At 48.4% G+C, this 14412-nt stretch overlaps 1 protein-coding gene across 6 annotated transcripts in view, besides 1 other annotated feature; it reads left to right on the top strand.

Annotated features, from left to right (window-relative positions):
• Positions 1-14412, top strand: part of CRMP1 (collapsin response mediator protein 1) — a 72323-nt gene that overhangs the window by 15625 nt on the left and 42286 nt on the right. For 5 of the 6 annotated variants that reach the window (NM_001014809.3, NM_001288661.2, XM_047449629.1 and 2 more), the window contains one exon: positions 10706-10794. In NM_001014809.3, the coding sequence (NP_001014809.1) occupies positions 10706-10794 (89 nt within the window). Of the gene's footprint in view, positions 1-10257; positions 10278-10705; positions 10795-14412 lie in introns of those variants that run through there. The other variant, XM_047449630.1, reaches the window with a different exon arrangement.
• Positions 2198-2719: an enhancer, noted in NCBI's record as "NANOG hESC enhancer chr4:5876470-5876991 (GRCh37/hg19 assembly coordinates)". NCBI's record gives its function as "activates a minimal SCP1, AML or CMV promoter by ChIP-STARR-seq in naive H9 embryonic stem cells {active_cell/tissue: H9 hESC(naive)}" and the evidence as "EXISTENCE:reporter gene assay evidence [ECO:0000049][PMID:30033119]".

Below are 14412 nucleotides of genomic sequence, written 5' to 3'. Positions count from 1 at the left end.
TGCAAGGAGGCCAGAGTGGGGAGCTTGCTCAAGGGGAAGGCTCTGGTTATTCAAGGTAGGGACCAAGTCATGGAAGTTTGACGTATTTGAGCTATAAAACCTCTTATGCAGCAACCCCTGTGGCTCCCAGCACAGAACCTTTACGATGTATTAATTTGCTTTGATGCGATGATGCTGCCTAACAAACACCCCCTCTAGACTCTGTGCCTTACAGCAACCAATATTTATTTATGGCAATAGGTTTGTGGGTGGTAGATGCTTAGCAGGGCTCAACTCAATTTGTCTTCAGTCTTCTGTTGGGGTCAGGTGTGCTCCTCAAATCCTCTCATTCTGGGGCTGCCACTCCTTGGGTCCTGTGGTTTTCATGGCAGGAGGTGGACTGTCAGGGAAAGCTGAACCCATCTGCCCCTTAAAGCTTGTGCTCAGACTGGTGCACTCCCAGCCAAAGCAGGTCACATGGGCAGAACACCCACAGTCAGTGGGGCAGGCGGCTGCACTGCACCCACTTTGGGGCATGGTGAGGACTTGCCACAGAGGGTCTGTGTTGAAATTATCTGGGGATGTTTGTTAATAATATAAATTCCTGGCTTGTAATCTAGATCTGGTGAATGAATATCTTGATAAAAGCCCCGATGGGAATTTTTAGCAGGCAATTCCAGGGCATTCTGAGGACCAGCTGGGCCATGCTGTCGTGCTATCAGTTTTCAGAAGGGGGGTGGTGGGGGGATATGCCTACCGATCATCTTGAAGTTTTGAATTGCGAATATCAGCTTCAACATCATGAGTATGTGGCCTTTAAAGGACTAAAAACTTTCAAAACCCACCTTGACATTTCCTTTGTTCTAAAAGAAAGCAGTTCCCCCTGCATTCAATGCTTGGATAAGCACATTTCTACAAAATGGGCTCCCTTGATCTTTTTGAGGCTCATTTCCCTGCTTGCTCTTTGGAAAGAAAGGGTTTCTTCATCTTTCCAGAAGAGACTGGTCAGTTAGTTACCCTGAGCTTTCCTGCCCTTCCCACTGAGGAATCAGGTAACCTCATCTGAATTTGCGTGGCCTCTGAGACCCTATGTTGACACCCACCTCTTCGTGATTGCAATGACTGCTCTAGTGGGGGCCATGGGAGTTGCTTGCCCTCACCCCAACTTCCTGGGGTGGGAGAATTAAGTATTGGAAGTAGTGTAAGGTCTTCATCTACCAACACTGAAATGTACTTGCCAACTATGTCCACTCGGAAACATAAGTCATGATTATTTTGACTCTGCAAGGCCAAAAGAAGAAGTTTTGAAACAAAACTTTTTTTTTTTTTTGAGATGGAGTCTCACTCTGTCACCCAGGCTAGAGTGCAGTGACGTGATCTCGGCTCACTGCAAGCTTTGCCTCCCGGGCTCATGCCATTTTCCTGCCTCAGCCTCCCAAGTAGCTGGGACTACAGGCGCCTGCCACCATGCTCGGCTAATTTTTTGTATTTTTTAGTAGAGACGGGGTTTCACTGTGTTAGCCAGGATGGTCTTGATCTCCTGACCTCATGATCCACCCGCTTCGGCCTCCCAAAGTGCTGGGATTACAGGTGTGAGCCACCGCGCCTGGCTGAAACAAGACTTTTTTTAAGAAGCTGAGAAAGAAAAGCAGTAAGAAACTATAAGGTTGGATGTGGTAGGGGGCTGAGGGGTCTTCAGCATCAGGGTTTGGAGAAAACTCACGGTCTCTGTGTCCATGTCAATTCAGGACCGCGGACAGCACCAACCCCCACCTGTTCCTCACCTACCCACAGTACCTGGAACTTTCAGAAGACCGTGTCTCTGTATCTAATGTTTATTTGGCTGGAATGTTTCCCTTCTCCTCTCCCAATTTTTCTAGACTTCTGAACTCCTATTTATATTGTGGAACTCAGCTCAAATTTCCCCTCCTTGATGACATAGTCACAGTCTTTTCTCTGTCACCGTAATAACAGCTTTGGTTCTCTGCTATTTTTCAGATAGCCAAGGTTGCTAAACCAGTGATTTTTGGATAGAGGTTGATTGGATAAGAATAGCATCCCATCTCTTTTTTTTTTTTTTTTTTCTAAAATCTAGACCTTAATAGATTTTGTATGCCTTCTGACATCCACCTTCATGGTGGAGATGACAGATTTATTCCCACCATGCAGGAGGGAGAACAGAACCCGGGGAGGTTTAATGCCTCACTCAGGAATAGACAGTGATGCAGAACATTCACTGTCATCCAGAACCTCCCCTCTGAGCTGAGGCTGACTGTGGTTGCTGCTGTTTGTTTTTTTTGTTCTGTGGATAAAAATGCCTGAAGCTTTAAAGGCTAGTTTTTGTAAGCAGAGCTCAACCTAATGCTTAATGTTTGTGAAAAAGAACAAAAGCGTCCTGCCAATGTCAGCTGTCTCCTCCCAGTGGGGGCTGGATGGGAGATGACAGTAGGTTTGGAGAAGAATCCCTTTCTCTTGCCTGGCTGCTCCTCTGACTCATGAGACATTTGGCAGTAGAGACAGGAATGCAGCCCAGCAGGGTTTTGGTAGAGTCTTCGCGAGGACGCCTTCCTGCAGCATCTGTAGCGTGCAGGCTTTGCACTTGCCAGGCTTCTCTCTCAGCTAGTGGGGTTAGGTTTTCAGGAATTTGAAAAGCAGAAAAGAGAGATTTATTATGTGTCCATGTATTCTTTTCTCCCTTTGTTTCTCTCTTCTCTCCTTTCTTTCCTCCTCCTTCCATCTTTCCTTTCCTCTTTATCCTTCTTTTATCTCTTCTTCCTTTTCTCTCCTTTGCACTCCCTCTCTCTTTTCAAACGTTCTCTTTCTTCTTTCTCTGTCTCTCCTTGCCTCTTGTCTGTTGCCTCCCTCTTCCCCTCCTGCCCAGCAAACATCTGCTAAATACTGTGTAAGGGTCCTGGCTGGTTCCTGAGGATATAGAGATGAAATACGCAGAACTCCCCTGGCCATGAAGGGGTATCCAGCTCAATGAGAGATGGGCACATGAACTGTGACCATTGGGGGAAGGTTGTGCATTGGGAGACAGCTGTGCATTATACTGGCGGTTAGATCATGGGTGTGGACCCCAAAGTCTCCGTAGGGGAAGCCAATGACTCCAGATCCACTTCATTTTGAATTCCTAACAAAGAATTTTGTAGTTTGCTTTTTCTCCTCACATTTTATTATCTAGCACTTTTGTTCGTGCTTAAAACTTCCTGGAAGATATTTGAGTAGCTGTAGTAGCTGAATGATACTTCATTATTGGTGTGGTTATACCATTGTAATTAATTCTGGATCGCATCTTTGTGTATCATTTTGTGACCCTGTTTTGGATATTTTCTAGAGGACAAATTCCCAGCACTAAATTTATGGGTCAAAGGACATGAACATTGTTAAGGCCTTTGATACCTGTTGCAAACTTGCCTGCTACACATTCTTACTGAGGAATCCCAGCTTTGAGGAGAAGATAAAGACGATTCCTTCCCCTTCTTCCATTTCCACCCAGCGCTCATGTGATGTCTTAGCTTGGAAATGTTTCTATCTTCCGGTTCCTCCCTGATGAAAACCCCTCCATGACCTTCACCACAGAGCCCAGACTCCCCTTTACACATGGCACTGGGGTCCCTGAGATCTGGCTTCTGCAGTCCTTTCCAGATTCCCCACTTTGAGGTCACCCTTCAGCCAAAGAAGACCACTTACAGATCCCCAGGCATGCCAGGCTGCTTCTGACCTCTGTGTCTTTCCCCATGGAATATGGTCTGGATCTCTGTCCCCACCCAAATCTCAAGTTGAATTGTAGTGCCCAGTATTGGAGGTGGGGTCTGGAGGGAGGTGATTGAATCACTGGGGCGGATTTCCCCCTTTGGTGCTGTTCTTGTGATAGTGAGTGAGTTCTGAGGAGATCTGGTTATTTAAAATTCTGGTACCTCCCCACTCTCTCTCTTCTTCCTGTGAGGTGCTCACCCCCCACCCCCCACTTTGCCTTCAGCCATGATTGTAAGTTTCCTGAGGCCTCCCCAGAAGCCAAGCAGATGCCAGCATCATGCTTCCTGTACAGCCTGCAGAATCATGAGCCAATTAAACCTCTTTTCTTTTCTTCACAAATTACCCAGTCTCAGGCATTTCTTTATGGCATTGTGAGGATGGACTAATACACCGTGTGCTTCCCTCTCTCAGGATCCCTTTTCGCCTTTGCTGTGTGGCTAATACCTACTCATCCTCTAAGCTTAGAGGGAATGCTTTTCCCCTTAGCAGGGTTGATGTGGAGGCTGCCTCCATGCTCTGTGGCCCTCTGCATTTCCCACACTGGCAGCAAAGGCCAGCTGTTGACTTAGCCTCCCTCACTGGCCTGAGCACCCCTTGAGGGCACAAGCTGCATTTAAGCTGCTTACACCCATCCTTAAACAATGATTTATAGAGTGGAGTTCTAGCCACAGAAAATGGCAGAGAATGAACAATGAGCTCTTCACCTGCCAGGCCTGGGCTGAGTAAGCACTTCAAATACATGCCTAGGACGCAGAGCCAATTATCCCCATCTCATAGACAAGGAAACTGAGGCTCGGTAAGTCACATGGATAATAAGTGAAGTCAGGATCCAAGCCCACCTCTGTCTGAGTGTGGACGTTTTGCTTTTAAGTGGTGCTGACACAAGAACATGATTTGCTCTAAAGGTCATTGCTGTCGCTGTGGAACGAACTGTATCTCTGACATGCCCTAGCTAATCAATTCAGCTGTTAGACTTTGGCTGAGTTTTTCATGAGATGCTTTATTTCTTCAAGGTTTATACATAATAATTGTTTTTTGAGATGGAGTCTCGCTCTGTTGCCCAGGCTGGACTGCAGCGGTGCGATCTCAGCTCACTGCAACCTCCGCCTCCTGGGTTCAAGTGATTCTCCTGCCTCAGCCTCCCGAGTAGCTGGGATTACAGGTGCCTGCCACCACGCCCAACTAATTTTTGCATTTTTAGTAGAGACGGGGTTTCACCATGTTGGCCAGGCTGGTCTCAAACTCCTAACCTCAGGTGATCCGCCAACCTCGGCCTCCCAAAGTGCTGGGATTACAGGCGTGAGCCACCGCACCTGGCCTAGGTTATACATAATAATGTTTGTGCAGAGCGTACCATTGTTCACATCTGCTGTTTTCCCCTCACAGTAACCCCGTGAGAGGCAATAGACGGCACCGGTATTATTTTTTTTTATAAATATGTGAATTTGGTGTTATTAATTTTAAAAACATATATTATGTAACATTTACTTTTTTAGTATACAGTTCTGTGCACTCATATTTCCTGCATGAGAAAGGCAGCCTTAGAAGGCAAGGCCCGTTGATCTTATTACTTGGGTGGGGGAGGGTTCTAAGTTCTATCTTCTTATGAGGTGTCATGGATTCTAGAGTTTGGGAATGTTTAAACATGGGACAGAAGCATGGCTTGGTGGCTGGAATGCTGGACAGGCCATTAGGAACCCTTGGCTCTAGCCTGCATCCTTACTGGTTGTGTGAACCTGGAGGTCACACCTGTTCGTGGACCTCATTTCCCTGCGAGGTGGGATCAGACCTAACATTCCACACGGACCATTCTGTGCAAATGGTCACAAAGCACGTAACTTCAAAGCCCATTTCCTACGGTCTCTTCTGTGGGAAAGTATCCCTTCAGATTTTCCACACCACAAAGGGACCTGAGTTTGGAAAAGATATCAACTCAATTCTCCTCTTGAGTATTCGTATCAAATATCAGCAGAGGCAAGGATCTGAAAAGTTCTGTCATAAAGACATCATTGCTTCTGCTTAACCCAGAGATTTCTTTTTTTTTCTTTTTTTTGGTGGGCGGGGAGCGGGGAATCTCACTCTGTTGCCCAGGCTGGAGTGCAGTGGTGCGATCTCGGCTCACTGCAACCTCCTTCTCCCTTGTTCATGCCATTCTCCTGCCTCAGCCTCCTGAGTAGCTGGGACCACAGGCGTGCGCCACCACGCCCGGCTAATTTTTTGTATTTTTAGTACAGACGGGGTTTCACCATGTTAGCCAGGATGGTCTTGATCTCCTGACCTCGTGATCCGCCCACCTCAGCCTCCCAAAGTGCTGGGATTACAGGTGTGAGCCACCGCACCCAGCCTTAACCTAGAGATTTCTAAACTCACGGCACCGGGTAACCCCTGTCTGGGCCTGTACCTACTAAAATCTCTCTGAGCTTGAGTTCTGAAGCACATGGCTTTGAAAATGCCTGTTTAAGAGGCAAAGGAACTACTAATTTTAAGAAAGAACATGAAGAGGTTGAATCAGTGCTTGGCTTCCTGTGGGCTTATTTTTTCAGAAGTAGACCAGCACCTGAGAGACACTAAGGGCTTGGAGCCTGGGCGCCCCTGCTTGCAGTGTCTATTGGTAGTTGGGGAGGGAGTGGATTTGAACATGAGCTCCACCATCTGATTCTAGGAAAAGCATAGCAGGTTGGGCCAATCTTCTGGCACACAGTGCATTAAAATACCACCTTTCGGGCTGAGCCCGAAAAGCCCCCTATTAATAGTGACAAGACAGACGGGTGCCTGCGGGGCGGCCGTGTTCCGGAAGCCATGCACCAGCTGCTGGTGACTTATGTTTCCTGTTCTGGAGCCGGGGAAACATGCACGCCAGCTTGTGGGTGCTTCCTGGACGTGCAGAGCCTGGGCCTCTTTTTCCCATTGGTCCCGGATTGCCGTCAAGAGGCTTGGTGAGTTTCCTCTCTGGGGATGCACACATCTTTTTTAGCGGTACAGATAGGTTGTGGGGCCTAGGAGCAACTTACCTTGAAACATCTTCCTCCAGAGACCCTCCTGCTGAAGAACGGGATGTGCCTCTTCACACTGGTCTTCCTCGGCTCACAGCTGTGATGCCTTTCTCTCCATCTTCACCCATTCATCTGTCAAGAATCAGTTCAGTCACCCAGGCAGCCAGCCAGGCTGTGTCCAAGATGCCGGAGAGACAGCAGTGAAGAAAACGGACAAAGTCCGTTGCCTCCGTGGAGCTCACGGTCTAGTAAAGACAAGTGCTGTGCAAACTCCAGGCAGTGCCGTCCCCACCAACGCCTGTGTCATGCGTCCCCTGGGGAGTTGTGTCCTGCACTGCCAGTGGGGTAACACACCAAAGCTGTGATTCCAGTGTGGCAAGTTACATTTTAGACAGACCTAGAAATACATAGCCTGCCAGATGTGCCGTAAATACTGTGAATACATAAACGGGTAAGGGATGTAGGGCCAGCTGGCAGGGTGGTGGTGTGTGTTGTCCCAAACAGGGGAAGTCGAGCGGAGGGCACTCAGATAAGTAACATCAAGCAGGGCCCAAAGCAAGTAGGAGCAGGAAGACTGCCAGGAACCTGGGACTCCAGATTAACTGGGGTCTCGCTGACCTTGGCTTTCACTCTGAGGGAAGTATGATTCTGATGCAAGAAGCTTTGAGCAGCCGACTGCATGATGTGTTTCTGATGCCTTAGTTTGGGTTAAACTCTTCTTCTCTGGGCTTGCAGGGCCATTGTGGCTGATGCCATAAGACCATGGGACCTGGTCCAGGGGACCACTGAAGTGCCTTCTGTGCACTTCCTCAGATGGCCTTGGCAAGATCAAGCTCTGGTTGCCCACAGTGCTAGCCAGGTCAATATGCCCTCTTTATTGGATTCATTTATTGAACAGGATACCCTCCCTCCAGACCCTGGAACCACCTCCCAGATGTACCACCTGCCTCCAGGTTCTTGAGTTAGGCTCTGATGTCAGAGCACCACCTACTGTGGGTTGTTCTTGTCAGTTTACTTCTTTTCTTTTTCTTTTTTTTTTTTTTTTTTTTGACGGAGTCTTGCTCTGTTGCCCAGGCTGGAGTGCAGTGGCGCTATCTCGGCTCACTGCAAGCTCTGCGTTCCGGGTTCATGACATTCTCCTGCCTCAGCCTCCTGAGTAGCTGGGACTACAGGCGTCTGCCACCACACCTGGCTAATTTTTTTTGTATTTTTAGTAGAGATGGCGTTTCACCGTGTTAGCCAGGATGGTCTCGATCTCCTGACCTCGTGATCCACCTGCCTCGGCCTCCCAAAGTGCTGGGATTACAGGCATAAGCCACCACACCTGGCCCAGTTTACTTCTTTCTCCCCCACCCAAGGGATGGGCTTCAGGGCAGACACTGTGTCTTCTTCGTCACCACATCTCCAGCCTGGAGAGAATACAAATGGTAAAATAAGCACATGGAAAAAAATTACAAGCCTTCAAGAAGTGGAAAATTGCCAAGGCACGGTGGCTCACACCTGTAATCCCGGTGCTTTGGGAAACCGAGGAGGGAGGATTGCTTGAGGCCAGGGGCTCAAGACCAGTCTGGGCAACACACTGAGACCCCATCTCTACAAAAAAAATTTAAATTAGCCAGGTGTGGTGGCACATTGCCTATAGTCTCAAATATTCGGGAGTCTGAGGCTGGAGGATCACTTAAGCTCAGGAATTTGAGGATGCAGTGAGCTATGATCATGCCACTTCACTCCAGCCTGGGTGATAGAGTAAGACTCTGTCTCGAAAAAAAGAAAAAAGAAAAGGAACACAAATTAACAAACATTAATAATAAACAAGAGTGCTTAGTGTTTTCGTGCAAAGAATGGGGCATTCCTTTTGGAAAGCAGTTTGGTCATCTTTATCAAGGGCTGTAAATAAGGTTTATGTTGTTTGACCCAGTTGTTAAGCTTCTGAGAACTTTGCCTAACAAATCATTCAAACCAAGGAAGGAGTTTTGTGCACAAAAAAGTTCATTGCAGCAAAATACGTATCACTGTACAAAACAGAAAATCACTTCAGTAACCAACAATGGGGGAAATATTAAACAATTTATTATGTATCCCTAAGATGGAGTATTTTGTGATTATTTTAAAAGTATAGTCATGAAGTGAGGCCAGGCGCGGTGGCTCACGCCTGTAATCCCAGCACTTTGGGAGGCCAAGGCAGGCAGATCATGAGGTCGGGAGATTGAGACCATCCTGGCTAACAAGGTGAAACCCCGTCTCTACTAAAAATACAAAAAATTAGCCAAGTGTGGTGGCAGGTACCTGTAGTTCCAGCTACTCAGGAGGCTGAGGCAGGAGAATGGTGTGAACCCAGGAGGCGGAGGTTGCAGTAAGCTGAAATCGTGCCACTGCACTCCAGCCTGGGTGACAGAGTGAGACTCCGTCTCAAAAAAAAAAATTATGTATATATATATATATATATATATATATATATATATATATATAGATATATAGTCATGAAGAATGTGCGGCAAGTTGGGATGTGCTTATGGTAAAATGCAGAAAGGACAGAACTGTGTTCTTTTTGGTTCCCATAATGTTCTGGTTTCTGACTTGCATATCATTTCCTCTGCCCGGAACACTCCATATGGTGAAGCTTTGTTTATGTTTATGCATAAACATGTTTGTGGCTGAGTTCCATTCTGGAATGGTATTGACAAATAGAAGAGGGTTGAAAGCCTAGTCTGTGCCCTTAGGATAGGCTGAGGGATTGAAAACATCCCTTGGAGAACATCATCTGAATACATGAATGTTTACGTAGACATACTCATACAATCCTGTGTGTGTGTGTGTGTGTGTTTATCTATCCACCTTCCTCTAATGACACATCCATTTATCTATCTATAGTCATACAGAGTGTAGATATAGGAAGTATAAATAGACTCTTTTTTAGACTTATTTTCTGGGTCTGCGCTTTCTCTGCCCAATGCCCCAGATAAGGTTGGCAGCCCCTTTGGTTGGCTTCCATGGCAGGTCCCCACTTTTCTCCTCCTCCTCAACCCCACATACCCCATGACTTGATAAACATCTGTCTCTCCATCTGTCAACCCCCTGAAAGCAGATTCCAGCTCTGTGCCTGGTCCCCTCTGGAGCTGAGAGCATCAGTCGGTAGCTGATCGGTGCTTGGATGAGTGAGTGGATGTGTGCACTGTGGGGGAAGAAAACAGGAAAAAGAGTGGGGAGACATCAGAATGTCAACTGGGAGTTGTACTGGAAAAATGGGGTTTTCTTTTTTTAGTCTCTTCACTATCTTTTTAAATGTCTCTAAGTTGATCATTATCATATTTAATAATACCTTGATAACTCCCTGTTCTACAAATGACCCAATTTCTTCAACAAACGAATGACATTGAAAAGGGAGGAGGGGCCAGTGCAGATGCTGACAGAGGCTGCCGAGATGATGAGGCAGGTGTGCTGTGGGGCCTGGTATGGCTGTTGGTTCAAACCTTCCAACTACAAAAAGACGTCTATGAGACCATCAAGGCACATTGAAGAGGGCCTGATTATTGACTGATAAGCAAGGTATTAAGTTAATTGAGTTCGTTGGGATAATGGATTCTGGTTTTGTTTCTTTAAAAAGTCCTTACCCCTTTCCTGTTTAGAAAAAAAAGTGCAGCTTGCTGCCCATACTCATTTCTCGGGGCAAACGGGAAATGGGTTAACAGTGAGAGAGATCTAGTGAAGTATTTATAGGTGGAAAGATACAGTGCTTGTGCTTTGTTTTAAAACACCTCAGCAAAAACAAAACAAAGTGAGAGGGGAGAAAGGTGAAAGGAGAATAGGAAGTATTGGATAGAGAAGTATTGAAGCTGGTGATGGATCTGGGGCGGGGGAAGTTAAATGCCTTTACTTTTGAAAATATTTGATAATTCTTATATTAAAAATTAAAAAGAAAAAACTTTATCCTGGCTTTTCACCAAGGATCCTTAATACTTTGCCTTGCTTTGCAGAGTGACCGACTCCTCATCAAAGGTGGACGGATCATCAACGATGACCAATCCCTTTATGCTGACGTCTACCTGGAGGATGGACTTATCAAGTGGGTTGATCAAAACGGACCTTTTAAGAAACCTGTGTCGCCAGGCTGCCTGGCCTTAGATGGAACAGAAGGCTGGCATTCTGTCCTAGAATGACGGGGCTGTGTACCTGTGTTTCAGGGGTAGAGACCTCACAGAGGTTGGGGGAGGTGCACACTGCGGGTGGAGAAGGGGCTGGCATTTCTTGGGTGCCCCCCCGGGCTAGGCTCCCTGCCACACGGCTGAGGCAGCTCCTCTCTTGCAATGCTCACACAAAGGCTGCAAAATGCAGACACGTTTCCTGTTTTGTGGTTTTGGAGGCGGCAGGCCAATGAGTCTGGGTACCTGGCCCCATATGACGGGGTGAGTTAGGGTCAAGGCCCGGATTCCACCCTGAGACAACTGAATTCACAGCTCTTTCTTCCACCTACCCACAGTTTCTGGAATTGGGTTGAGGAGAGCAGAGAGGAAGGAGGAATGTGTGGCTTCCAAGCCCAGCCTTGGCACTTAAAGAAAAGATAGACATTGGGGCTGGAGTTTCCTTCCCTTTCTTCTCATTGGCTCCCTCTTCAGCCCTGCTTATGACAACCCAGGTGTCTTAGCCAGCGCTGGCTGCCGGAATGGAATGCCACAGGCTGGGTGGCTTAAACAGCAGAAGTTTATTTCTCATAGTTCTGGAGGCTGGAAGTCCCGGATCAAGCTGCCGTCAGGGTTGGTTCTTCCTGAGGCCTTCCTGAACTTCTTCCTGAGGTTCTTCCTTGGCTTGCAGACACCACCTTCTGGCTTGCAGACACCACCTTCTGGCTGTCCTCACAGGGCCCTTTCTGTGTGTGTGTGTGCACACTCCTGGGGTCTCTTCTTCTAAGGTCACCAGTTTTGTTGGATTCCAGCCCCACTCCTGTGGCCTCATTCAACCTTAACAACCTTAATCACCTCCTTAAAGGCCCTGTCGCTAAAGGTAGTCCCATGGGGTGGGCTGGGGCTTCAACATGAATTTTGGGAGATACAATTCAGTCCATAACGCCAGGCAGGGGTCTGTAGGCGGCGGCCTTCTTTTTTTTTTTTTTTTTTGAGACGGAGTCTCACTCTGTCACCAGGCTGGAGTGCAGTGGCACAATCTCGGCTCACTGCAACCTCCACTTCCCGGGTTCAATCGACTCCCCTGCCTCAGCCTCCCGAGTAGCTAGGACTACAGGCATGCATCACCATGCCCCGCTACTTTTTTGCATTTTAGTAGAGACGGGGGTTTCACCATGTTGGCCAGGATGGTCTCGATCTCCTGACCTCGTGATCCGCTCGCCTCGGCCTCCCAAAGTGCTGGGATTACAGGTGTGAGCCATCGCGCCTGGCTGGCCTTAACATTTTACTGGCGGGTGAGGATCAGGGCAGTTCTCTTTCTGTGAGTTGTAACCTGGATTTGCTGGGTGCTCAGCCTCTTCCCTTGAAATCTGGAAGAGAAGAGAAGGACACTGTTTAAGGATCCAGCATGAGTGGCTGGCACAAGAAGGAAAGGCAGAGGGGAATTGGAGCAAGGGGAAGGCAGAAAGGGATTGATACTGTTAACAGGATCATCCTGGGGCCCGTGTGGGCTTTGGAGATGATGATGGAGGAGGAGGAGGAGGCTGGGGGAAAGGGGCTGTGGAGTATTGGGGGCATTGAAAGGGACCACATATGCAAATCACCCAGTGAAGAGGGATACCCAGAACAGTTGAGCCCTCCCTGCCTCCCCCCAGCCCACCCCCCAATTCTAGTCCCAGACTTTGACCATTTCAAATCCAGCCCGGGCCTCCCCTCCTCTGGCTTCATTCCTTGCTTGCTCTTCCAGCCATAATGAAAACTTGGGACTCACGGGACTTGCCAGGCTGCTGTCACCTGAGAGCCTTGCACCCATCAGTCCCCTGCCTGGAACACCTTTTCCCCTGTCCCTCTGCCTTCCCCTCATCTCTTATTTGTCCTTGTGGGCCCTGCTCATGCGACTCCTCCTCCAGGAAGCCTTCCTTGACCCCAAGACGGTGTGGGGTGCATCCCTCTGTCCCCACAGCACGTGAGCTGCTGTCTGTTGCAGCCACTGTCACACTGCATCGCTCCTTGACCAGGGCCTTGCCTCGTGGCCCCCCGCCCTGGGGCCCAGCACCTGTAGGTCCTGGAGCACCGATTCAGGGAAAGCGCAAACAAATGAATGCTGGCCATCAGGTGGTGAGGATGCTCCTGTCAGCCTCAGGGCACCTGGATCCCGAATGGTCAGGAAGGCAGATTGGGGGTGGGGAAGGGTGTCAGGATGTGTCAAAAAATGAGGTTTTCTAACTCAACCATGGCTTAGATAGAGAGAAAGCAACTCTGAGGGAACACCCCTTTGTGTGGGGGCTCTGGGCTTCTGAAGCCTGAAAGGTAAAATGACCCTGAGAATGATCTCGTGGGCTCCCCCATCCCACACACCACCTGCTGCTAGAAGTTTGATCTGACCACACCCACCCCCGTCCTTCCTGGGCCAGGCCCCCTTATAGAGCTCCGCAATCCCGGAGTATACAGAAGGAGCAAGTGGCCATGGGTTGAGCTGCATTCATTAAGTGCCTGCTGTTATGTGTCAACATCAAGAGTCCTAGGACTCCGGCTAACCAGGCTGTTGAGGAAAAATGCAGTTTCCCTAAATTCATTATCTGTCAGCCCCTCTTGGTTGTAATCCCCTTTTACTTGAACCCGTTGCTGAGAAGCTCTCTGCGTGTTGGCAGTCCTACTCCGGACTTGTGAAGCTGAGTGAGTGACGGTGACTGAGGCCTCACAGGGCCCTTGGGTGTTTATTCTGAACGTGCATCCTGCAGGCTGAGAAGGGTAGGTGTGGAAGAGCCGGGGACCACCTCGGGTACAGAGGCACAATTACTTTCCTTCACTTGAATGAAACCCCAAGAATCCTTTAATTCTGTGGCCATTTGCCAAGTTTTCTTAAGAGCCGTTCAGCTGTTGTGTGATTCATTGAATTATGATTCATCGAGGTTTCCATTTAACTCACTCAGCCTTGGTGAATCTAGTGCCGGTGGTTGAGAGTTTCTTCTGCACCGGGAGGTGATGGTGTTGGGGGAGGGGCGTCTGTCTCATTCACTGAGCTGAGCTTCCTCTCTCCTCCTTCCCTTTCCAGCACATTGCTATTGAGCGCCATTCACTGAGTCCCTCTGATTCACTGGGGGTCCCGTTTAGTGCAATCCCTGTTCAGGGACAGTCTGGCTCCTATATAAGGGAAGCAGGGCGGCAGTAAAGCCTGCTGGTCAGAGCTCTGATATTAGGCTTGGGGAGACCTGGGCTTGAATCTGGGCCCATCACTGACTTGCTGTGTGGCCTTGGAGGAGTCACTACACCTCTCTGAGTTGTGCTGTCCTCTTTTGCAAAATGAGAATACCTCCTACCTTGCAGGGTTGCTGATGGGAGACCAGAGAGAGTTTGTTAAGAGGCTATGATTGTGCCTGGTAAGAAAGAGCCTCTGGCTGCAGAGATGGCATTCACTGTTGAACATCAAGCATCTTAGGACTCTGGCCAACCAGGCTGTTCAGGAAATGTCCTGTTTCTTTAAAAAAAAAAAAAAAGGAAAAAAAGAAAAAAGGTCAGGCATGTTTGTTCACACACTTTGGGAAGCCAAGGCAGGAGGACTC

Source organism: Homo sapiens, chromosome 4, assembly GCF_000001405.40.
Source record: "Homo sapiens chromosome 4, GRCh38.p14 Primary Assembly".
In the NCBI taxonomy this organism is placed as follows: Eukaryota; Metazoa; Chordata; class Mammalia; order Primates; family Hominidae; genus Homo; species Homo sapiens.
Note: the sequence above shows the minus strand (reverse complement) of the source record. Positions and strands in the feature narration are given on the sequence as shown.